This window comes from Homo sapiens, chromosome 7 (assembly GCF_000001405.40).
Source record: "Homo sapiens chromosome 7, GRCh38.p14 Primary Assembly".
Lineage (NCBI taxonomy): Eukaryota > Metazoa > Chordata > Mammalia > Primates > Hominidae > Homo > Homo sapiens.
The window spans coordinates 32,469,593-32,495,283 of record NC_000007.14 but is presented as its reverse complement, the minus strand read 5'-3'; the positions used below and the strand labels follow the sequence as shown (position 1 = coordinate 32,495,283).

Here is a 25,691-nt window from a genome sequence, read left to right as displayed (position 1 = left end):
ACGTGACCCGGGCGGCTGGGCTTGCAGAGCCTGTGGTGTCCGCGGGACCTGGAGGTGCGGCGTGGCACACCTGCTTTTTCCTCCCTGGATTCAATCTCAAAGCACTTCCTTCTCTTTTGCCTTCTCTTTTTCCTCAAAGTTTTCCCACTTCCCTCTTCTCTTCTGTTTTCCTTGCTTTTTCACATCTTTTCGGTTCACTCTCCGAGTGTCCGATTCCTTCACCTCCTTGCCTTTGCCTCTGTGGCCCCCGTCCTTATTCTTAAATATGTAGTAACATGGAGCATACTGGTGAGGTTGCGTATCTGTGTATTCAGCCTTTAAATTACTTGCTTACTCGAGAATTCTTGTTTGTTTCTTTCTAGAGTTTTTTTTTCTTCGTTTAAATATTATGTGTAGGAATCTGAGACGCATTTAAAACCTGAAACAGAATATCCTTGACAACAAAGGAAGTTTACTTGGATACGTGTAAAATGATTATTCTAGTCCTGCGATTTTATAAGAATATTCTTTTCATTCCATCTCATTTTGGGTGTAGTACTCTGGTCAATACAAAATATATGGGCTCTGTTGTCACCAGGGTTTTTTAATTCCTTTACTGATTGTACTACAATTCTTTTTTAAGCAGTGAATCTCATGTCAATTTAAAGTGCATTATAGAAAAGATTTAACAAGTCTTATCTAGGACAGTTTTCAAATAACCTAAAGGATAGGTGTCTGCTTCAAATAGAATTCGAGATTACTACAGTAACTGTGATATTTTGCACTTCTGGTCTTGAAAAGTAAGGAGCTCTGTTCTAATCTAACCATAGCTGAGAAAAACAGTAGGCTTCCTAAATCAAATTTAGTTTCTGTGATTCAGTAGAACTGTTTTAATGCTAATACTGCAGACATTTTTCAAGATGCTGCTATACATTTCTTTTCTGTATTACAAAATTATTGGCATTGGCTAAGAAAACTGTGTAAAACTATATTGCTCCCTGTATGCAGAATATATTAACTGTTTTCTTAATATATTAACTGTTTTGAGCTGTCAGCTGTGTGATGTGTTAACTATTAATATTTTCTTGATATAACCTGTCTTGATATTTTCCACAATTGGCATGGCTAAAATTACTGTCTAATTGAACACCTTTTAAAGATGTATATAAGGGCCGGGTGTGGTGGCTCACGCCTGTAATCCCAGCACTTTGGGAGGCCAAGGCAGGCAGATCACCTGAGGTCAGGAGTTCTAGACCAGCCTGGCCAACATGGTAAAACCCCCTCTCTAGTACAAAATACAAAAATTAGACCTGTAATCCCAGCTACTCGGACGGCTGAGACAGGAGAATTGCTTGAATCCGGGAGGTGGAGGTTGCAGTGAGCCAAGATTGCACCATCGCACTTCAGCCTGGGGGACAAGAGCGAGATTTCCTCTAAAAAAAAAAAAGATATATATAAAAAGAGGGTCAGGCGTGGTGGCTCATGCTGGTAATCCCAGCACTTTGGGAGGCCGATGCGGGCAGATCACTTGAGGCCAAAAGTTGGAGACCAGCCTGGGCAACATGGTGAAACCCCATCTCTGCTAAAAATGCAAAAATTAGCCAGGCATGGTGGTGTGTGTAATCCCAGCTACTAGGGAGGCTGAGGCAAGAGAATCACCCTAACCCGGGAGGTGGAGGTTGCAGTGATCTGAGATGGTGTCACTGCACTGCTCTCCAGCCCAGATGACAGAATGAGACTCCATCTCAAAAAAATAAAGAAAGGGAGAGAGAGAGAAAGAAAAAGTTAGTTACTGGGAAAATTGAGACAGAAAGTGAACAAGGGAATTTCCAGGATTTTTTTCATCTCTAAATACACAGACTGGACCACTTAAGAATTTAGAATATAGGTGGGGCATGGCGGCTCACACCTGTAATCTCAGCACTTTGGGAGGCCAGGGTGGGTAGATCACTTGAGTCCAAGAGTTCGAGACCAACCTGAGCAATGTAATGAGACCTCATCTCTACAAAAAATAATAAAAAATAAATAGCCAGACTTGGTAGCACGCGCCTGTGGTACTGGCTTCTCAGGAGGCTGAGATGGGAGGATTGCTTGAGTCCGCGAGCACACCACTGTACTCCTGCCTGGGTAACAGAGTGAGGTCTTGTCTCTAAATTAATAAATAAAATATGATGGGGTGTTGCTATGTTGCCCAGGCTGGCCTCAAACTCTTGGGCTCAAGGGATCCTCCTGCCTCAGCCTCCTAAGTAGCTGGGGCTACAGTTGCCTGCCACCATGCACATCTTACATTATGTTTTAAATGAGTTGTATTAATGTAGAATAAATTCATTAACAAGATATTGTCCACAAGGACAAATGTCTATTGGGAAAATAATAAAATTTCTAATTTAACTCGAGGGAGAAAATTAGAAATGCCTTTCTGAACATATAATACATGGAAGAGCCTTTGGTAGTTACATGTATTTTATGATAAATTATAAATTCTATTTTACGTCTTCTACTTAAGACTTAAAGGGAGAAAAATCCTTGAGACATAGAGCTATGACATATTTTCAAGTTCATAACAACTCTCCATTTGGAATTGGCCTGTTCTTCCTTTTTGTGTCTTGCCTCAGGAGAGAAAATAATAAAAATACCACTCCCTGAAATCCCCATTAACTCTACTATGTAAGTGAACTATATATCGTTCCTTTTTTCAGATTCTAAAGAGATTTTCTTTATTCTTTATTAGTGGCATTCAAAATTGCTAATGTTTATTCTGTTTTTTTTTTGTTGTTGTTGTTTTGAGATGGAGTCTCACTCCGTCGCCAGGCTGGAGTGCAGTGGCACGATTGGCTCACTGCAACCTCTGCCTCCCAGGTTCAAGCGATTCTCCTGCCTCAGCCTCCTGAGTACCTGGGACTACAGGCGTGTGCCACCACACCTAGCTAATTTTTGTATTCTTAGTAGAGATGGGGTTTCACCATGTTGGCCAGGATGGTCTTCATGTCTTGACCTCGTGATCCGCCCACCTCGGCCCCCAAAGTGTTGGGATTATAGGCGTGAGCCACTGTGCCCAGCCTATTTTTCTAATTTTTAAAAACTCTATCAAATAACAACAATGTTTTGAATTCTCCCATACTGTCAGTATGGTATGGGGAAAATAAAATAGGAATAGAAAAGGAAAACCAGGAAAAGAGGTGGTTTTCAACCAAATGAGGATTGGACAAAAAGAAAAAAAGAGAAAGAGAAAGAAAGAAGCGTCACAAACAAATCTGGCATTACTTCGTATTTAAAATCTTATGAAGAGTAAGGAGAATGTTGATGGGTGTGAATGAAATAGTGAGAATCAATTTAAAGAATATTCATTAGGCGCCCTACAGTGTGCCTGAAAATGTAGTGTGCACAGTGTATAAAATAAGAAATTGCTTCCTTAAAGTGGCTTATGTCTGGTTATAAAAATAAGATGAATGCAAAACCAGCTAGCAATGCTAGCTTTATGTAGCTTCACTCTGAGCCAGACATCATGTATTAGAAAACAAGGATAAGTAATAACAGCTCATGTTTAAAAGGGCTATGTGCCAGGTCCTATGCTGACCACTTTTCATAGATTATCTCAATTAATCTTCACATTAATCTTATGAGTAGATACTGTTGTCCCCATTTTTTCCAATGGGTATATTGAGACTTAAAAAGTTAAAATAACTTGCCCATTGTCAAATAACTGACCATGGAATTTGAACCAAAGTCATTTAATTCAAAATGAAGAAATTTAATCACGTAAACTACTGCTTCCCATAATTCTCAGCCTTGAGGAACTCAGTCTATGAAGGAATGATGGGTGCTTAATGACCATTTGTTGTATGAATGAATGACGTTCTTTGTGGCCGCTCATGTTTATTGTTTAGCTTTTTTTTTTTTTTTTTTTGAGATGGAGTTTCGCTCTTGTTGTTCAGGCTGGAGTGCAGTTGCATGATCTAGGCTCACTGCAACCGCTGCCTCTCGGGTTCAAGCAGTTCTCCTGCCTCTGCCTCCCGAGTAGCTGGGACTACAGGCGCACGCCACCACGCCCAGCTAATTTTTGTATTTTTAGTAGAGACGGGGTTTCACCCATGTTGGCCAGGCTGGTCTCGAACTCCTGACCTCAGGTGATCCGCCCGCCTCGGCCTTCCAAAGTGCTGGGATTACAGTCGTTACCACTGCGCCTGACCTAGACTGTTCAGGTTTAAGTTCCTAGGATACAAATATAAAACAGACTAGGGCCGATACTTTGCTGTTTTCAACACAGAAGTGGAAAGCATGATTTTACACTTCTGGAATAATTTAGAGTGACATCTGGTGGTTGCCTGTGAGACAAGAATTGTTGAAGAAACTGAATTTAAAAGCCTATAATAAATAAGACTACCAGACATAAAAAGATAAGAACGATGAATTAAAGTAGTAAAAAGTTTAAAAAACATATCTTAAATCCTCACTAAAGAAAAATTTTAAAAAATGCTAGTTGCAGATTTTCAATCCACTGGACTTTAAAAAGAAACAATAGATTCCTTAATGAGTAGTTGTAACGAAAATTGTAACAGTTAATTGATGGCAGGAAATACGAATTGATTTATACTGGTTTGAAGATTCTGGCTTGAGAGGAAATGCAACTTTACGGGGGAAGAAGACTCAAACGTTACAGGAACAATTTATTCACAAGGCAAAATATCTTCAACGTCTCTCCAAAACTTCAAGGGCATTATGGGTATCTGCCGAGATGGTAAAATGTCCAGTGGGCAGGAAATATTTCACCGGATCTCACTTGCCGGGGAAAAAAGCCAGTGAACGCGACCCACGCAGCTGACTAGATCGTGCGCTCGGCCTCAGATTGGTCGAGCCTGTTTGGGCTGCGGAAAAAGCGGAAGCGCGCTTTTCAAAGTCGTCCCACCATCAATGAAGGCAGGCCACTTCCGGCGTAGCCATGGCGGCTAACGCTACTACCAACCCGTCGCAGCTGCTGCCCTTAGGTAATCGCCGTCCTTTGGGGAGCAGGAACAGGGAGCTGACATTCAGGATTGGGGGCCGAGGGGCTGTTCCGAGGCAGGCCCTGGCCGAGTGTGGGGAAATGTATAAGACCAAATGCGGTTCGACTCTGAGCTCCAAGTCTTCGCGACAGCAGGCCGCACCTGCTCTTTAACGTGGTCGGGCTCCTCCAGGCAAGGACTTTGACTTCTCAAACCAGACCTTCACTGGAAAAGGTCCACATTTAGTGAACGCGTCGTCGGCCTACTTTGTTGTGAGCCCGCCTCTGCAGTGTTATAGGTAGTAGGCCTACTTCTCAGCCTGGCGTTTACGATCCCCAGATTAGATAGACCATGTTATGTATGTGGTTGGTTAGTGACACTAACACCCTGGTCCGGAATGAGCCTTAAATGAGGAATCTGGAAACCAGCTCTGTTTGTTATTTATTCATTCAATAAGTAGTAACTGAGTATCTATACACTAGATACCGTGCCTGGGCATTTTTCAATGATAAACCATAGCCATTGCCTTCAAATAGCACACAAGCCAGTGGAGGAGAGAACACTGGACAAGTAGACATCATGCCACATAATGCTAGGCTAGCTAAAGAGATGTTCAAGCTACCGTCAGAGCACAGAGGATAGACAGAGTTGGGAAAGGGAAGCAGTGACCGGAGAGTTTCCGGTGAATATAATTATACCTATCTCCTCTTATATTTTTGTAGTTGGTGAAGAGTGATTGAACTAGTGGTCGTGGCCGTGATTGAAAAGTTTTCATTCCTTCATGCCACAGACTCTTTTGGAAGGCTCATTATGTGCCAGATGCTGTGCTTGAACTGAGATTTGTATTATAAGACCTAAAGTTATTGAATGAATGTTTTTCCTGGTTTTTCTTTCACTATATGCAAGTAAGAGTGCCAGTAGGCACTCAAATATTTGTTGAAATAATGAATGGTAAAATAATATTTTTTCCCTCCTCAGAGCTTGTGGACAAATGTATAGGATCAAGAATTCACATCGTGATGAAGAGTGATAAGGAAATTGTTGGTACTCTTCTAGGATTTGATGACTTTGTCAGTATCCTTTTAAAAGGTGGTGGTGGTATAGGTTTTTCTTAAGTAATAACATAAGAACTATAGACAATCAGTATATTTGTGATTATTATAATAAAAATCAGTTCATTCTCAGGGAACTTATGATAATGTTTTAAGAGGTATGTATTGAAAGACGGTAAAGTTCCTATCAACAACAAGCATTTTGAATTTGAGCCATTGTATTAAACATTGTAATTAAAACTGAACAGGCGAGCCCAGTGGCTCACGCCTATAATCCCAGCGCTTTGGGAGGGCGAGGTGGGTGGATCGCTTGAGCCCAGGAGTTTGAGACCAGCCTGGGCAAGATGATGAAACCCTGTCTCCACAAAAATTACAAAAATTAGCTGGGCATGGTGATGTACACCTGTGGGTCCAGCTAATCTCCGGGGCTAAGGCAGGAGGATCCTTTAAGCCTAAAAGGTGGAGGCTGCAGTGAGGTGTGATTGTACCACTGCACTTAAGCCTGGATGACAGAGCGAGACTTTGTCTCAAAACAAAAACAAAAACAAAAAACAAAAGCTGAACAAAGGCAGAAGCTAGAGTAAATTCTGTATTTATTTTCTTAACACCAAATTTCAGATATGGTACTGGAAGATGTCACTGAGTTGTGAGTAGTGTTAAAGAATTGGGGGGAATCTCTTCTTAATTAAAGACAGTTTTACTACTTTTGAGTAAAATTATTTATGAGAAAACATTACCTCTTGGTGGAATAACGTTAAAGATAGACGTTTTATCTGTTTGCTTGTAAAATTGGATCAGAGTGTTATTACCTTAATGTAATTATTAGTAAACGCCTAGAATATTAGTGGAGACACAGTTTTAAGGTAGAAGATAACAAAAAGAGCCAGGAATTTTAGGGTTCAGGTCAAATAAAGGAACTGATAGTAAGAGCATTTAGGCTGGACATGGTGGCTCATTCCTGTAATCCTAGCACTTTGGAAGGCCAAAGGAGGAGGATTAAGCCTGGGAGTTTGAGACCAGCCTGGGCAACAAAGGGAGACCCCTGTCTCTATAAAAAATTTAAAAATTAGCTGGTTATAGTAGGGGGCAGCTGTAGTCCTAGCTGCTCTGGAGGGTGAGGATCCCTTGAGCCCAGGAGTTCTAGGCTGCAGTGAACTATGATTGTACCACTGTACTCAGCCTGGGCAACAGAGCAAGACCCTGTCTCTTAAAAAAAAAAAAACCCAAAAAACATTTCATTTCATATTTGATTTCCTGGGCAAGCTTTCACTTCTTTTTATGAAGCTCTGTCTGATAGACGTGGGTCTTAGTGTCAGTGAGTTCATTCTGCTGCTTTTAATGAAGGTTACATTACCTAGTGGATAACCTTTGTATCTGAAAATTGTGGATATAATTGCTCAACCTCAGTGTAATTTGTATACAAGGATAACCTTTTTAGGGAGGGTAAGTATTTCCAAAATGTTGGCTTTGATTTTCACTGTTTGTCCTGACTGTATTTTATCTATTCATTTAGTGAAATCACACCAGAAGGAAGAAGGATTACTAAATTAGATCAGATTTTGCTAAATGGAAATAATATAACAATGGTAAGACACATTGAAACTGTTTTATTTTGATGGGAGCCCATTTTTGGGGAGCAGTGATTACAGAACTAACCTTAATGTTGCTTGCTTGACTAAATGATCATGGCCCAGTGGTGCATAAGATGGGAAAGGGGTTCTCTGTGGTCAGGGTCCTAAAGCTCAGCTATTGAAGAGGCATTGGGTCTAAAGGTTAGTTTGCTTGGAACTTTTAATCGCTGTTGAGATAGTAAGTATTAATTGATGACGTTGGGAATTGTAAATAGATACTGACAATCTGGAGAAAATGGGAACGTGGAGTGCAGGGGACAGGCAAAGGTGGCTTAATGAAGAGCAAGGGGTTTTTAGATGACATGGTGGTAGTGTTATTAATAAACTCTTTTTCCTCTTTATGCAGCTGGTTCCTGGAGGAGAAGGACCTGAAGTGTGAATGAGTTTCCTTGACTTACACTAGATTTTGTTTTGGCTTATAATGACAAGAAAATGGAATTTTTTTTCCCACTTTCTAATGTTTAAATCCCATAAAGCTAAGTTTCCCGTTAAAGGGAAGTGCTTTGAAGATGTGTACCCATTTTTGTAAGTTAATCATGATTATCCTGGAAAAAGAAGAAAAGAGCTTCTTCTTTGCAGATGAAAATAAAGGTGTTTTTGGTTAACTGTCATTTTGTTTATTCTACTGCAGTAGCCAGTGGAACAAAGTTTGTAGTTATTTTGCCACTTACTTTTCTGTCATTATATGCTTATTTGTTTTGTCATTTACGTGACCATTTGATTCTCAAACAAAAGTTGTTCCAAACAAAATGATGAACTTTGATTTGAACAGGTGCATTTAAACAACCGGAAATGATCACTTAGAAAATTCAATTAAAATGCTGTTGTTTTGTAATGAGGATTTTTCTTCTGATTTCAAATTCCATGAACTCCTATTGAAAACAAACAATGTACAGGTAATATATGCACATTGTAGAAATGCAGGAATTATCTATTGGAATTACCCTAAAGATAGAAATTTTATCTATTTGCTTATAAAATTGATTCAGAAGGTTATTACCTTAATGTAGTTATTACTGAATTGCCAGGAAATGAGTGGAGACAGAGCTTTAAGATAAAGGATACTAAAAGCAGCTAAGAACTCCAGGACTCAGGTCAAATCAAGGAACTGATAATAAGATCATTGAACTGTATAAATTAAGTCAAAGAACTCCTATTAAAAACAAACAGGTAATATATGCACATCGTAGAATTGTAGGTAAGCAAAAAGGAGAAGGTTGATCATGCTTTGCTGTATGTCTTCGTAGACTTTCTCAGTCCACTCTCAGTACACGTTTTATTTTACTTGCTCATCCTGATTATACTGTTTTTACCCTCCACTTAAGTCATTTTTTGAATTTAAATGGTGAATATCTTTCTGTGTCAAATATTTCAACATTAATATGTACATAGTATTAAATGGATTTACTATAAATTATTTAGCCTATTCTTACTGGCCACAGTAGTCTAACTAGATCTTTATACATTTGTATTTTTCTAGAATAAACTCAAAAATGTGTAAGATCAAAGGGTATATATTGTGTTGCCAAGAAAAAGTTTGTGCCAATGTATATTTTTGCCAGGAGTCTTTCATAGTACCATTTATATCCTTCCCAGCATTAGCTGTGTTCTACCTTCTCTCCTCTTTGCCATTTTTACAAGAAAACCGGGCATGTCTAAAGTTTTCTTTTCCTTTTTTTTTTTTTTTTTTTTTTTTTGGAGAGTCTCACTGGAATGCAGTGGCATGATCTTGGCTCCCTGCAACCTCCAGTCAGGCTGGTGTGCCTTGTCGCGATATCAACGCGACCTCCGCCTCCCAGGTTCAAGTGATTGTCCTGCCTCACCCTCCTGAGTAGCTGGGATTACAGGTGGGCGCCACCACTCCCATCTAATTTTTATATTTTTAGAGAGATGGGGTTTTACCTTGTTGGCCAGGCTGGTCTTGAACTCCTGACCTCTAGTGATCCACCTGCCTCAGCCTCCCAAAGTGCCGGTATTAAAGGCATGAGCCACCAGGCCTGGCCTAAAATTTTCTTGATTAATTTTGATCTCATTTGTATTTTGTAAATGACTTATCTGTTGAGGCTTTTGCCATTGAGATGTTTGTCTTTTTCTTACTAATTTGTAAGAATTCTTGATGGGTTTCTGTTAGTCATGTATTTTGCTAATAATTTCCCTAGTTTGTAGTTTGCCACTTAGTGCTATTTTTGACATAAATGATGTATTTTAATGTAGTTGCATGTTGACCTAGTCCATTATGGTTTTTGTATTTGGTCCACGTGGATTGGAAAACCTTTGCTTTGATTATACTTTTCTTTGGGCACTTTATGTTTTCTGCGTTTGATTTAAATCTGGAATCTATCTGGAATTTTGGTATTACCACATGGAAAAAGGATCCAACCTTATTTTCCAAAACACAAAGCACTGATTTGTAGTTTTCTCTGATTTACATGTTGTCAGTACTACTGCCTTGGCTAATTTCAAGCTACCAAGGCTTTAACAACTGGTTTGCAAAATTCTCAAGGATTTGACAGTTGATTCTCAGGAGCCAGTATGAGCTGGTTGCCTCACACTTTGCTTCTAACTCTTGGGGGCAATGCTTTCCCTCCACTGTTGTTTCTTTCCCTTTGGAGGGGAGTAAGTGATGTAACACCTGCTTCTTTCCACCCCTTTATTATTTGCTATCCCAGGGGAGCTAATAGTCATACCCAAGCTCTTCCTTTTTTCATCATAGGAGTTAGGCCAGGTGCAGTGGCTCATGTCTGTAATCCCAGTGCTACATTGTAGGTGGTCGAGGTGGAAGGATAGATTGAGGCCAGGAGTTGGAGACCAGCCTGGGTAATATAGTGAGACCCCATCTCTACCAAAAATTTTAAAAAATTAGTGAGGTGTGGTAGTGTGCATGCACCTGTAGTCCTACGTAGTTGGGAGGCTGAGGCAGGAGAATTGCTTGAGCCCAGGAGTTTGAGATTTCAGTAAGCTATGATTGCACCACTGTACTCCAGCCTGGGTGACAGTGAGACCCCGTCTCAAAACCTACAATGAAACGCCATTTCATGGGTGCTATAGAATGGCTATAATTATAAAAAATTATTGTAACAAGAATTGTACAAAAATTAATGTAACAAGTATTGGCTGGGATATGAAGAAATTGGAGCCCTAGTACCTTGCTGGTGCGAATGTAAAATGATGCATGCACTGTGGAAAATAATTTGATGATTCCTCAAAAAGTTAAACAATTACCATACGACCCTGCAACTCCTCTCCTCAGTTCATACCCAAGAGAACTAAAAACATGTCTGCACAAAAACTTGTATGAACATTCACGGCAGCATTATTCCTAATGTCTCAAAGTGGAAGCAACCCAAATGTCCATCGATGGATGGATGGATAACTGAAATGCGATATATTCATACAATAGAATATTATCTGTTAAAATGAATGAAGTACTTGTGTATGCTACAGTGTGGATGAACTGTAACATTATGCTAAGTGAAAGAAGCCAGACACAAAAGACCACATATTTGATTTATATGATCCAGAACAGGCAAATTCACAGAAATAGACAACTATACTAGTGACTGCTAATGGGTATGGGTTTGTTTTTTGGGGTGATGAAAAAGTTCTGGGATTAGATGGTTGCACAACCTTGTGAATATACTAAAAAGCACTGAATTATAACCTTAAAAGAGTGGATTTCATGTTACATGAATTACATCTCAATTTTTAAAAAGTGATGTATCTGAGGCATATCTAGTGTAACTTCTGAGGCCCTAAAGAAATTACTTTCCCATGAGTAACAGCTTGGGTTGTGGCTGCTGAAAGGACTTTAACCACCTAAGCATCAAACCCCCTTCTGGTTAAGACTGAACAGAATAAGGATTTGGGAAAGGTTGTTTTGGGCATTTAACTTAAGAATGTTGGACATTTTTTGTTTGTTTTGAGACAAGGTCTTGCTCTGTCACCCAGGCTAGAGTGCAGTGGTGTGATCAGTGCTCACTGCAGCTTCGAACCACTGGGATCAAGCGATTCTCCCCCCTTAGCCTCCCAAGTAGCTGGATCCACAGGCAGGTGCCACCATGCCCAGCTATCTTTTCTCTTTTTGTTTTTTTAAAGATAGGGTCTCGGTCTGTCACCCAGACTGGAGTGCAGTGGTCATGGCTCACTGTAGCCTCGACTTCTCGGGCTCAGGTGATCCTCCCACACTACAGGTGCACACCACCACACCTGGTTAATTTTTTGTGTTTTTGATAGAGACTGGGTCTTGTCATATTGCCCAGGCTGGTCTCAAACTCTGGGCTCAAGCGATCAACTCGCCTTGGCCTCCCAAAGTGCTGGGATTACAGTTGTGAGCCACCGTGCCTGGCCTAATTTTTTAATATTTTGTAGAGACAGGGTGTCACCATGTTGCCTAGGCTGGTTGATTCTTAACTTACAAAAATAAGGGTATTTAGTTTTGGATTTTAATTCTAGTGGAGTTTAACATTTTTGGACTTTGATTTGGAAGGAGGTTTAATTTTTGAATTCCAGTAAATTTGATAATGGCACAGGATTATATGTAGATTTGGGCATCTCTGTTGTTGGCATTTTATTATTGGGTGTTGGTGTGCTGATATGCCAGGTTAGACCATTTATTAGTTGGGGTTCTCCAGAGATGACCAATAGTATATGTATATAGATATATAAGGGGATTTATTAGGAGAATTGGTTCATGCGATTATGGAGGCTGGGAAGCCCCAAAACAGGCTGTCTGCAAGCTGGAGACCTTGATGTGGCTCAGTCCAAGTCCAAAGACCTCAGAGCTTGGGATGCTCATGATAAAATTCTCAGTCTGAGGCTGAAGGCCTGAGAACCCAGGGGGCTACTGGTGTAAGTCCTGGAGTCCAGAGGTCTCCTAAAGTTGGGATCACTCTTCCTTCTCTGTCCTCAGAGGACAACATCATCAGAACATCAGGAGTTCTTATATCCAAAGACAGAGAAGGAAGAGTTATCCCCGCTCTAGGAGGGAGACAGACATGTTGCCTTTTCTGTGTTGTTCTCTTTGGACCTTCTGTCAACTGAATGCTGGCCCACATTGAAGGTGTATCTCACCTAGTCCACTCAGACTCACACCCTAAAGTAGTCTGGAAACACCCTCATAAACACAGCCAAATAATGCTTTACTAGGTTTCTAGATATCCTTAATCCAGTTAACTTGACACCTAAAATTAGCCATCACAGATCATGTTGCAGGATCAGGAGGACCAGAGAGAGACCTTGGGGTGTATAGAGGAGGATATATTTATTATTGAGTGCACTCAGACCCTGCAGACTTAACATTGAAATACTGGGCCCAGAACAAAGACAGCACTTGATTTTATGCACACTTCACAAAAGGGGGTGGGCTAGCTTGAAGCAAGCTTACAGTGGCCTGAAAGCAGGGATACAGAGGCAGGACAAAGACAGTTAATCAAATTGTAACAGATCATAACTCAGGATTACACATGACCATTGCCAGTCAACCCAGATGTCTGTTATCTAGGTTTTGCCTAGGCACGGGCTTATCCTATAACCTTCACTGGCACCCAGGTGGCCATAACACAGGCCTGCTCAGAGGCTCTGACCTTCACTCTACTGCTTAGATAAAACAGAATGTTTGAAGTCACTGGTTACAGAGAACAGGAATCTATAAACTCATTCCATAAAACGAAGGAAAATTTGTTTTTCTTCTCCGTATGTTGAGGGAATGCTGGGAGAGTTTCCAGAGCACATTAGATAATATTATCAAGACTTCCTGGGTCTGGGCTGTGCCTTTTGCTGCCTCTGGGACAAGTCAGCCTAACACAGGAAAACTTATTTCTCTTTCTTTTTAAGTTTATTTTTCTTTAATTTCCCGCCTCAACAATGTGGTGGGCATACTTTGGGTGGGAAATGGAGTGAATTTTCAGACTTAGAATTACAGAAGCCTTGGAGTTGCCTTAATTAATATATTATTCTGACTCTGTTTAGAGCCTTTTGGGGCAAAATCTAAACTGCTTCCAGTGATCCCAATGGCAGTTGGATTTGGGAGTGATAGACTGTGTTCTTCTCTATGGCTCTAATGGTTAAGTTCAGTGAGTGAAAAGAACAAAAAGATGGGGAATGTAAGGGAAATGCTTCTTTTCTACCTCTGATGTTTTCTTCTACATGAAAGCTTAATTAGTGTAACACATCTGCCCTCTCTCTGTCCTTTTATTCTGTATGCCCGGAGACATGCAGACTGAGTTGCCTGAGGGAGTGTGGGTTCTGCTCTGCTTTTTCCTGTAAGTTTTAGAGGTGTCTGCTTCCACATGAAGAAGTCTGGGGTGGTTTGTGGTTTGCCTATGGTTTGGTGGGTACATCTGAATAATTCTGGAGTTCCAAACACAGAAGTTAACTACAGTCTGTAGATATAAGTTACATCATCCAATGTAGTAGTAGTAACAATGACTGCTGTCTGTTTTCTACTTTGCCTTTGTTCTCAATTGGTTCAGAACTCAATTGTGGAAGAAGAGTGCTAATTATTGGCCCCCCTCAAGACTCCAATAGCCCTTGAGTCTCTGCTGTACTAAGACAAAAACCTCCTCTGCCTTCCTGCCTGCCTCCCATCTCTACCCTGTCATATCTGTCCATCCCAGCCATCAGACCATCAGAGCAACTGACTGATTGATCTAAAATGCAGGATATGGTCATGCTATGTTTGGCTTTATTTTTTTGAGATGGAGTTTCGCTCTTGTTGCCCAGGCTGGAGTGCCATGGCGCGATCTCGGCTCACAGCAACCTCTGCCTCCGAGGTTCAAGCGATTCTCCTGCCTCAGCCTCCTGAGTAGCTGGGATTACACGTATGAGTTACCACGCCTGGCTAATTTTGTATTTTTAGTGGAGACGGGGTTTCTCCATGTTGGTCAGGCTGGTCTTGAACTCCCAACCTCAGGTGATCCACCCGCCTTGGCCTCCCAAAGTGCTGGGATTACAGGTGAAGCCACTCCACCTGGCCGGCTTTCAAACTTTTCAGTAAGTTACCTTCTATACAATGAAAGGCCAGGTTCCTTAACAGGTTACCATGAGGGGTGCCTGTTGACCTTCTCAGTCACATCTCAGTCTTGCCTTCACAGCACAGAATTTATAACACTGGCTGTTACCCATCTTTGGCCTTTGGCTTTACTCATGTTGGACTTTTGTGGGAAGAGCCTTATCTCCAAACCTATCTTCATTTGGTTTACTTGTATTCAAGACTAGGCTCAAATGTCTCTTCCTCCAGAAAGTCCTATGGGAACCCTCATCCCTCTATCACTACTCAATGCTTATATGGGACAGGTCATGGAGGCTTTTGTTATATTGTGAAACTGTCTTGAGTAGCTACTCTCTCCTAGAAAAACAACAGCCTCAAGCAGTTCATACCATGCACAGTCCTGGTTTCAAAGGAAACAAATCCTATTACATTGTTGGACCATAGACTAGAGTATGGGCCCCCATCATCTGAGTATGTTGAGTTTGGCTGGTGTGGTCGATTGGCCCTCAGTGCAGTGATGCAAGTGGGCTTCTGGCTGTTACCTGGGAAGATCAGAGGCAGAAGCTTGGGAGCTCTAGCAGGGTCCTGGTGCTCTATGAGTACCACTCTTGGAAGACAGCAGCCCTCCTGGCTGACATCTCTCTAAGAAGTGGAGCTGGTACTTCTCACATCAACCTGACACCCAAATTGACGCTCTGTGTACTTCAGTCACAAGGAGTTGAAGTTAGTGGGCATGAGGCTGGAATAGAGAGTGGTCAGAAAACAGACCTCATCTACTTTATCCAGGAGTGACCCTGACTGAATCTTTGCTTTATTAGACATTTCATTCTTGAATTTAAGAAAAATCATGCATGATACCAACTGACCACAAGAGGACACTGTGGAACTAGGCAGGCAGCTAGTTGCTAGAGCCAAGGCTTTTTAGTTTTCCCCAGAGCCTCATTTGAACTCAGGTTTCTTGTCTCCTACTCTGCTGAGCTTCCTATTGGATCACACCACAAGGGCAGGTAAAGGGTTGAATTATACTACTATTTCACACCTCCTTCCCTTTTTTTTTTTTTTTTTTTTTGCAAAAGAGGAATCTGTTTTTCATTCATTTATTTCATATTTTCTATATGAGGTGCCTTTTCTATTGTAAAATAGAATTGAGAGGAGAGTGCTTTGGAAGCCAGGATGAAGGGATGATTTCAGAGGTCTGGAGGTTTTATCACAGGGGAATAAAGAGTCATAGGTATGATGAAGTGGCTTCAAAAAACAGCATGAGTTCAGAAAGGAGTAAAGATCCCGGGAGTGCATAGTGACTCTGCTTGACAAAGCTAAATCTCCTACCCTGGAGAGTAGAGGGGTTAAGTAAAAACTAAAACCAAACCAGTGACAAGAGCTGCACAGCTTCCACATGTAAACTATGCATCTTCTGGACCCAGTATTTTTCCCTGGGCCCCTTGATAGGAAGGAGTCCGGGGACTGTGTCAGCCACACACAGGAGAAGAAGGGAGGTCAACAGTTTGGAAAGGGAGATGGAAGAACAATCAGGAAACTTGAGTTTGTCACCAAGTGGCTTTGTAACCTTGGGGCAAGTCACTCTTTTTTCTTTCAGGGCTTCAACATTTTTACCTATAAAACAAGAGTGAAGCTGAATGTTTGGGTTCCTTTCTAGCACTGCCTCTCTGCCTTGGTTGTCTGCACTTCAATGGAAGAGGACATCAGCCCAGGGCCTGAGGCCTCAGTGGGGAGAAGGGGAGGTTGACCTCTGGTGAGGGGTCATGTCCTTGGGGCTCAGGCATGCTCCCTCTTCCCTCTAACCATGGGCATCCCATCACTGCTGGCCATGCTGTGTTTGGAATCTGAGGTGAATTGGGAGTCTTTGGGAACTTGGGAGCCTGTCCCCACATCTGTGGATTGCTCTGACTTAATGTCCTGTGGGAATTTAGCAGTTTTGGATATGGTAACTAATCTTGTTTTTTTTTTTGTTTTCTTTTGTTTTTGTTTTTTTTTTTTTTTGAGATGGAGTCTCACTCTTTTGCCCAGGCCGCAGTGCAGTGGCGCTATCTCGGCTCACTGCAAGCTCAGCCTCCCGGGTTCACGCCATTCTCCTGCCTCAGCCTCCGGAGTAGCTGGGAGTATAGGCGCCTGCCAGGGTGCCTGGCTCTTTTTTTTTTTTTTTTTTTTTTTTTGTATTTTTAGTAGAGACGGGGTTTCACCGTGATAGCCAGAATGGTCTTGATCTCCTGACCTCATGATCTGCCCGCCTTGGCCTCCCAAAGTGCTGGGATTACAGGCGTGAGCCACCGCACCTGGCCTTTTTTTTTTTTTTTTTTTTGAGACAGGGTCTTGCTGTGCTGCCCAGTCTGGAATGCGGTGGCACAATCTTGGCTCACTGCAACCTCTGCCTCCCAGGCTCAAGCCATCCTTCTGCCTCAGCCTCCTGACTAGCTGGGACTACAGGCAAGTGCCTGGCTAATTTTTGGTATTTTTTGTAGAAATGGGGTTTCACCATGTTGCTCAGGCTGGTCTGGAACTCCTGGACTCAGGCCATCCTCCCGCCTTGGTCTCCCAAAGCACTGGGATTATAGGCGTGAGCCACTGCGCCCGGCCACTGTAGCTCATCTTTTAAAGCTGTAATGCTCCTTGCTTTCCTTGCTTCCTTCTCCTTTTCTCTTCTGTTTCAATGAGAACAAACTTGAAAACCATCAGACTGAAGGCCACTTCAAGAGGAATCATGGTCTGGTGTAGAAGCCCTAATGCTACAGACTGAGTGAGCCCCGGCAAGCAATTTTCCCTCTTTGGGTCTTGGTTTTCTCATCTTTTAAGCCAAAGCAGTGACTCAGACCTTTCTTACTCCACACAGTTATTCTGGAGATCCAAAGGGCTCATAGGTGTGAAATGCTTTAACTTGAATAACTTTCCATGTTGACATGAGGGCTAACTGGATCCCTATTCCTTCATCATTGGATATCAGCTGGTAACATCCTGGCTGGCTTTTACATCTATATTGCTTTCCAAAAAGAGCTGTGGTATCCTATAAAATAATTTATCATTGTATCTGCTATAGCAATAGGGAAATGTACTAGAATAGAAGATCGTGGCCATGGGATGTGGTGACTCAGATGTGGGTCATGGGCTCTGCTGCCTCCTCTGTTCTCTGGGAAGGACTCTACTTACCTCCTTTCATGCAATTTTTTGTGTCCATAATTGCTGCTTCTTGGGCCATAGGTCCCATTCATACTTCCTCATAGTAACCCTGTTATTTGTCATTGGTATTAGCCAGCTCCACAGTCAGCATCTCATGAGGGTAATAAGAAGTGGGAAGGACCTTATTTTTTCCTGTACTGAATTGCCTGGAGAGCATCTCTTGTTGATTGCAGCTGGAAGTGTGACATTTAGTAAGTGGAGAAACTTGAATCAGGCAAGTGGCAGCCTGTGCCAGCAGGAGGGTAAGAAAGGGCTGAGGAAGAAGGGAAATGCTCAGTGGAGTAATTTGGCCCAGGTGTTTTCCTGGCTCCAGGTTGGGTGTTCACATTACCACAGGTGGGGATTGTAGATGCTCAAGGAATTTTCCATTGTGATAGAAACCACAAATGAGCATGCATAGACACCTAGTTTCTTCTATTCCATCTGACACCTGTGTTGGGAAAATAAACTCCGAGAGGTAAGCACCTCACCCAAGGACTTCCTGCTTTTCCAGTGACTAGTGCTTGAGTATGACACAAGCCTGCATTGAGATCTGTGGCTTCTCAAGGCACGGGTCCAGAGTGGGATGAGCTGGAAGGGAGCTTACATCACCTCTAGGCCCAGTCCCTCACTTTATAGGTGGGGAGACCTAGGCTCAAAGAGAGGCCTTAACTTGATAAGGGATTCAGGGGCTGTGCTGGAACTGGTGCTTAGATCATTGGGACCTGATTCAGAGCTCTTGGCTGTGCCTCTCCACCTATGTGACTGGATGATGATGGTTGGGTTACCCTGGATAAAATTACCTTCCTCTCCCCCAGAGGCTGAAACCACTTGTGTCCAAACTCTTGCACTTTCTCCATGGGTATCATAGAGATACTCATTTCTAGTTTATTTCTAAAGAGCCATCTCTTCCCTGCAGGTGCATTACTTCTCAGAGTGATGCCTCTTCCAACTCACAGCCCCTGGGAACTTGAGAAGTGCTGACAATCAGCAGCAGAAGACAAATGATGTGGGGGGATCAGGAGGAGGGACTTTGATGGGACAGGAGCCTGCAAGGAAGAGGGCCCACGGAGGAATTTAAAGGCAGCCTGGGGATGGGGTGGGGGAATCTGGCTTCTAATACCTGTTTTGTCATTTCTCAATTGTGTGACCTTGGAGAAGTTACTTAATATCTCTAAGCCTTGGTGCCCTACTCTGCAAAATGGGGATGGTAACATGTACTTCAGGGTTATATGAGAATGATATGAAATACTGTATTTGATAATATATATTATATTATAGATGTAATATATAAGGGCTAATATATATGAAATATATGTGATATGACAGCATCCCACGGTGCGGGATGGGCAGTAGGTGCTCCACAGGAGGGAGTTTCTTCACTCCTGGCAACAGCTGCAGTGCCTGGAGCACTTCCTATCTTCCTCCCTTTGCAGAGCTCTCTACCCTCAAGACTTCTCCAGTTGTGCAGGTGACATGTTACAGTGACAAAGGTTAAGCAGTATTTTTTTTTTTTAAGAAAAAATGGGGTATATTTATTGGTTCATGTAGTTTAACCTTCCAGTTTCTGGCATGCCTAGCTCCACGGGCTCTAAAGATGTCATCAGGATGCAGTCTCTCCATCTCTTTGCCTTATTCTCCTCCTTGTTCTTTCCATTCTCAGGCACACTCTCCCTGATGGAGATAAGAGCAAGGATGCAGACCCACATTTTGGTGTCAGCAGAAAGCCCAGCAGAAAGACCATCAATAGAAGTGATATTAATATAGCATTTTGTAGGGGGCCCTGGACACCTGCTTTTTGCCTTTGACCATCCACCTTTTTCTAAGTGGCCCCCAGGAAAAATATATGCACAGAGGATTATAAGCATTTTTTCTTGCTTGGGCACGGTGGCAGAAATGGCTGGTTGGCTTCCATTTTTCACTCTTTCCTTCCATGGCTGCCCAACTAAAGACACATTTCTATGCCTCCATTTCAGCAAAGTTTAATCATGTAAGAATCATGTCACGAGATCGTGGCCAATGAAGTATGGATGAAGTGGTAGAGGATGAGATGAGTGCTGCGGAAGAAAAGGAAGAAGGCAATAGTGGTGCTGCCATACCAGTCGTAGACCACCTACCTGGCCGTTTGTATGAGAAAGCCATCTTATTTAACCCACTTGGTTAAGCCTAACCGATACAGGCACAAATGCAAGCCATAGCGTCCTACTGATTGAGATCAGACTATACAGAAGACTTCTGCTGCCCAGGTTGGAGGCTGTCCTGGGCCTGGATTTGGAGCTTGTTGGAGACAAGACAGAATTTTCCAAAGCAAGGAAAATTGGAACAGCTTGCCTCAGGGGAATTCCTGCTCTTAGTTGGTTCAGATGTCTGTGGCCAATGAAGCCTTCAGGGGCTGGCTCGCAGAAGCCTGGGAAAAGCTACAGGAATGAAATGAATGCAAAGATTGTTTGACATTATTTTTATCAACTCCTTTACATTTACTTTCCCAGAAAGCCTTTTGAAACCCTGTTTTATTATGAAAATATTCAAACATTCACAAAACTAGAGAAAATACCTATTCCTAGATTCAACAGTGATGAACATAATGCCATATTTGCTTCAACTTTCATTCTTCCTCCTCCTTTTCTCCCTCCCTTTTTCTCTCTGCCCTTCTTCTCTCTCTCTTTTGTTTTTTCTTTTGGCTGTGGGGTTTTATTTTTTTTTTGAGACGAGTCTTGCTCTGTCACCCAGGCTGGAATGCAGTGGTGCAATCTCGGCTCACTGCAAGCTCTGCCTCCCGGGTTCATGCTATTCTTGGGCCTCAGCCTGCTGAGTAGCTGGGGCTACAGGTGCCCACCACCACGCCCGGCCAATTTTTTGTATTTTTAGTAGAGATGGGGTTTCACTGTATTAGCCAGGATGGTCTCGATCTCTTGACCTTGTGATCCGCCCGCCTCGGCCTCCAAAAGTGCTGGGATTACAGGTGTGAGCCACCGCGCACGGCCAGCTGTAGTCTCTTAAAGGAAACCTCTGGCAATATGTCTTTGTATCCCTAAATAATTCTGTATACAATTCTTAAATATAAGCATATTTTCTTATAGGATAATACCATTATTACATATAATAAAATTGGAAGTAATTCATTGATATTATTTAATACCCAGGATTAAAGCTGTATTACATTTACCTAGTTGTCTCAAAACTGTGTTTTTACAGTGGGTTTCTGAATTAGGATTCAAGCCAAGTCTACTCATTACATTTGGTTGTTACATCAACAAAACTTTAATGAGAGCTGCTGCAACGACAAGATCTGAAGGATAGGGTTATTATAATTCTGCCTATTCTTGGAGAGTGGACAGCCAGAGGGAGGTAAAGAACAACAGTTCTGGGGATGCACAAGCCAGATAATCCCATCCACAGGTCCCTGATTTACTCAAAGATATGTGATTTCTTTCATTTTTTATGTTTGCAATAATTCATTCCTGGAGTGGTTCGTTGAAAGTGGACAGTGTAAGGGTGAGACACTTCTAGCGTCTGATTTAAATGCAGCCCTTGACTTATTTAACATATGGGTTCATTTGAAACTCACTGAGCTATGGCCTCTTATGTCATGTATGTTGAGTGCCCATTATATGCCAGTACTGTTTAGAGACAGTACAAAAAATGGCAAGAGAAGCTAGCAAAAAAGTTCTTAATTAGACGGAGGACACAGGCACGCCCTTTCAGCTGCAGGGTGCTGTACAGGGGAGTGGAAAGAAAGTGCCGTGGTTAGGCCGGGCGCGGTGGCTCATGCCTGTAATCCCAGCACTTTGGGAGGCCGAGGCGGGCTGACCACCTGAGGTCGGGAGTTCAAGACCAGCCTGACCAACATGGAGAAACCCTGTCTCTACTAAAAATACAAAATTAGCCGGGTGTGGTGGCACATGCCTGTAATCCCAGCTACTAGGGAGGCTGAGGCAGAAGAATCGCTTGAACCTGGGAGGCGGAGGTTGCGGTGAGCCGAGATCGTGCCATTGCACTCCAGCCTGGGCAGTAAGAGTGAAACTCCGTCTCAAAAAAAAAAAAGAAAAAGGAAAGTGCCATGGGCACACAAAGGGAAGGGGAAGTGTGATCAGCTCCCCTGGGAGAGGTCAGGAGAGGGTTTCCTGAAGAGGTAATCATGGTAATGCATGAAGAGGTAATGCATGTTAATATTTTCCTGCTAGGGGGAAACGCATTCCAAGCAGTGGGAACAGAATAACCCAAGGCACTAAAACTCTAAAATGCAGCGATGATCTTGAGCAGCAGTGTTTCAAGTCACATGATGGGTATTTGCCCCCATGAAAATAATTCAGTTTTGTCTACAAAATGTGCCTTCAGATTTCAAATACAGATGAACATACTGTTTAGAACACATTTTGACAATGTTACCTTTTTAAAAAATCTACTAGGGTGTGCACCATTCGTTCCTGCCCTGCCTCCCATCCCTTCCCAGGCCAAACAAACAATATTAGTTTTTTTTTAATTTTAGATATTTTTATTTCTCCAAATTTGTTATTTATCAGGTGTGAATGAAATAAAAAATATAATTGAGTCCCATCACCATCCTCATGGAAATGGCTTTAAGAGAAAACTGGTCAGATGAATATTATTGCTTCCCATTTTCTTTTCTTTTCTTTTCTTTTCTTTTTTTTTTTTTTTTTGAGACAGAGTCTCGCTCTGTTGCCCAGGCTGGAGTGCAGTTATGCCATCTTGGCTCACTGCAACCTCCGCCTCCCAAGTTCAAGGGATTCTCCTGCCTCAGCCTCCTGAGTAGCTGGGATTACAGGCGCGTGCCACACGCCTGGCAAATTTGTTGTATTTTTAGTAGAGACAGGGTTTCACCGTGTTAACCAGGATGGTCTAGATCTCCTGATCTGGTGATCCATCCGCCTCGGCCTCCCAAAGTGCTGGGATTACAGGTGTGAGCCACCGCACCTGGCTTGCTTCCTATTTTCAACCAGTAAATAGTTGCTACTGATAAATTGACAGCCAGGAGTCTGTCAAGAATGCTCAAGATATGTTATATAATACAACATGACTGTTCACAGTGGGGGAAATCCCAGGAAATAACTTATGTGTACTTCTTGATTTCACCATACAAGACAAGCACAAAAGCACCATCCATGCCTCTGAGAACACTGGACCATGCACCCTTGAAAAAATCTTTGCCTCCTTCATCACCAACAATCTTCCTCCAGCAGTCAAGCGTGCCTGTGTACATGACGTCAATTCCTTTGCGCCCTGACTGCATCATCATGCGGCATCGAACGGTGTCAAATGGATGGGAAGTCAACCCAGCAATGGCAGTGACAGTCTGAGTGATCATCCAGCTGATGATGATGTGAGTGTTCCTGGGATCCGGAAGCATTCCCTTTGCAGTGTCATAGATACCAAAGTAGGCAGCTCGGTAGATGATAATACCCTGCACAGACACGTTAAAGCCTTGGTACAGGCCCTTAATCCCATCAGTTTCGTAGATCTTAACCAGGCAGTTACCGAGGCCTCAGAATTCCCTTTCAGCTCCAGCTTTACCCACGTCAGCTGCTAGACAGGTATGGGCAAAATCAAGAGGGTACACAAAACACAAGGATGTGGCCCCAGCGGCACCACCTGATGCCGGATTCCCTGCAAAGTAGCTCCCAAACTGGGTCCTCTTGTCCACACCACCCAGGAAGATCTGCTTGTGTTTATCTTTGAAGGCCAAGTTGAGAGCCTGGGTGGGGAAGTATCTGAGGACATTGACCAGGTTACGGTGCCAGAAGGACAGGACTCCCTGCTCCTTGAGAATATGGACCACGCAGTCTATAATGCCCTTGTATTGCATATCTGCGGTGATCTGCTTGCTGGCATGCTGTACCTCCAGCAGCAGCTTGACCCTCTCGATGGGCGCTACCCCCATCTTGGAGATGGCTGCTGCCACTCCACCTGCCAGGAAGTCCTTGGTGAAGGACACAGCGGCATCTGTCATGTTGAAAGGAAAGAGGAGGCAGGCGGCAGGCTGCTGCAGGACGAGACTGGGCCGGGAACTGGCTTTGACGCCAGGGCTGCGGGGAAACAATATTAGTTTTTGTCAAATTCCAAAGCTTCATTTTTTTCCTCAGGTCCCTTTATAACTTCCCAATCTCTCTTCCTTGACTGCTCAAGATAAAACCAAAATATAATGCGAAAAATATTTCCATTCTTTTAACAAATAAAAACGCCTAAATCAATTACTTTTTACCTTCATGGTTTTGGTAATCTATTCATCATGGGTCAATGACACTTGATAGAAAAGTGGACTTCCTATCTGGTTTAAAGCCAAATCAAGGTTGTGTCCTGAGGAATTCTTGAAACTCCATGAATAACCCTGATGCCCTTAGGGAGGAATGAGATGACTGAGAGTGCTATCACCTGAGCAGTGGGACCCAGCTACTTTGCGCAATCAACTGACAAAGTGGGTGGCCTGGAACTCGGAAAGTGTGCACTCACATTCTCATTCGAGTAGCTCTGCAAGGCTAGGACAGATAGGCATGACTGTCTATGCAACGGGCAGAGGAAATACGTGGTGTGGTGTCAAAGTTCTGCACTTGGGGACTTGTCCTGGCTCACAGCCACCATCAAAGTGATATGAAGTAGGTGACATTTAGAGTGTTTTTTCCTTGTGCTAGGCACTGTTCTAAGCATGCTATTCACAACAACTCAGTGAAGTGGGTTGTATTATTCCCCTCGTATCAATCAAGATTCTCCAGAGAAACTGAACCAGTAGGATGTATGTGTGTACATATTTATCAGGTTGATGCAAAAGTAATGGCAATTTTTGCCATTACTTTTAATGGCAAAGACTGCAGTTACTTTTGCACCAACTTAATATTATATGTGTGTGTGTATGTATATATATATATATATTTATTTTTTTTTAATTTTTTTTTATTTTTATTTTATTTTTATTATTATACTTTAAGTTTTAGGGTACATGTGCACATTGTGCAGGTTAGTTACATATGTATACATGTGCAATGCTGGTGTGCTGCACCCACTAACTTGTCATCTAGCATTAGATATATTTCCCAGTGCTATCCCTCCCTGCTCCCTCCACCCCACAACAGCCCCCAGAGTGTGATGTTCCCCTTCCTGTGTCCATGTGATCTCATTGTTCAATTCCCACCTATGAGTGAGAATATGCGGTGTTTGGTTTTTTGTTCTTGTGATAGTTTACTGAGAAGGATGATTTCCAATTTCATCCATGTCCCTACAAAGGACATGAACTCATCCTTTTTTATGGCTGCATAGTATTCCATGGTGTATATATGCCACATTTTCTTAATCCAGTCTATCATTATTGGACATTTGGCTTGGTTCCAAGTCTTTGCTATTGTGAATAATGCTGCAATAAACATACGTGTGCATGTGTCTTTATAGCAGCATGATTTATAGTCCTTTGGGTATATACCCAGTAATGGGATGGCTGGGTCAAATGGTATTTCTAGTTCTAGATCCCTGAGGAATCGCCACACTGACTTCCACAATGGTTGAACTAGTTTACAGTCCCACCAACAGTGTAAAAGTGTTCCTATTTCTCCACATCCTCTCCAGCACCTGTTGTTTCCTGACTTTTTCATGATTGCCATTCTAACTGGTGTGAGATGGTATCTCATTGTGGTTTTGATTTGCATTTCTCTGATGGCCAGTGATGGTGAGCATTTTTTCATGTGTTTTTTGGCTGCATAAATGTCTTCTTTTGAGAAGTGTCTGTTCATGTCCTTTGCCCACTTTTTGATGGGGTTGTTTGTTTTTTTCTTGTAAATTTGTTTGAGTTCATTGTAGATTCTGGATATTAGCCCTTTGTCAGATGAGTAGGTTGCGAAAATTTTCTCCCATTTTGTAGGTTGCCTGTTCACTCTGATGGTAG

General features: G+C 42.4%; 1 protein-coding gene and 1 pseudogene across 5 annotated transcripts, besides 2 other annotated features; one reads left to right on the top strand and one right to left on the bottom strand.

The window, feature by feature from the left end:
- Window positions 1–9,946, top strand: LSM5 (LSM5 homolog, U6 small nuclear RNA and mRNA degradation associated). 5 transcript variants are annotated; one of them, NM_001130710.2, is made up of 5 exons: window positions 1–54; window positions 5,940–6,035; window positions 6,632–6,659; window positions 7,527–7,599; window positions 7,991–9,946. In NM_001130710.2, the coding sequence occupies exons 2-5, from the start codon at window positions 5,981–5,983 to the stop codon at window positions 8,021–8,023; spliced, it is 189 nt and encodes a 62-aa protein (NP_001124182.1). In that variant the 5' UTR covers window positions 1–54; window positions 5,940–5,980; the 3' UTR covers window positions 8,024–9,946. The 5 variants fall into 5 exon arrangements, 4 of the variants coding, with proteins under 4 accessions (NP_001124182.1, NP_001132971.1, NP_036454.1 ...); NM_001139499.2 differs by having other exon boundaries at window positions 1–293; NR_024466.2 differs by lacking the exon at window positions 1–54 and adding an exon at window positions 4,904–5,259.
- Window positions 72–281: an enhancer, noted in NCBI's record as "active region_25826". NCBI's record gives its function as "activates an Ori minimal core promoter by ATAC-STARR-seq in GM12878 lymphoblastoid cells {active_cell/tissue: GM12878}" and the evidence as "EXISTENCE:reporter gene assay evidence [ECO:0000049][PMID:35858748]".
- Window positions 4,952–5,001: an enhancer, noted in NCBI's record as "active region_25825". NCBI's record gives its function as "activates an Ori minimal core promoter by ATAC-STARR-seq in GM12878 lymphoblastoid cells {active_cell/tissue: GM12878}" and the evidence as "EXISTENCE:reporter gene assay evidence [ECO:0000049][PMID:35858748]".
- On the bottom strand, window positions 22,283–23,855 carry SLC25A5P5 (solute carrier family 25 member 5 pseudogene 5; annotated as a pseudogene).

What these genes read in the sequence shown, in the direction of transcription:
- LSM5 (NM_012322.3), top strand. Translation starts at nt 4,919, where the DNA reads ATGGCGGCTAACGCTACTACCAACCCGTCGCAGCTGCTGCCCTTAG. An exon ending in GTCGCAGCTGCTGCCCTTAG is followed by an intron (nt 4,965 to 5,939) that starts GTAATCGCCGTC and finishes TTCCCTCCTCAG; the next exon opens with AGCTTGTGGACAAATGTATA. An exon ending in AGGATTTGATGACTTTGTCA is followed by an intron (nt 6,036 to 6,631) that starts GTATCCTTTTAA and finishes ACCAAATTTCAG; the next exon opens with ATATGGTACTGGAAGATGTC.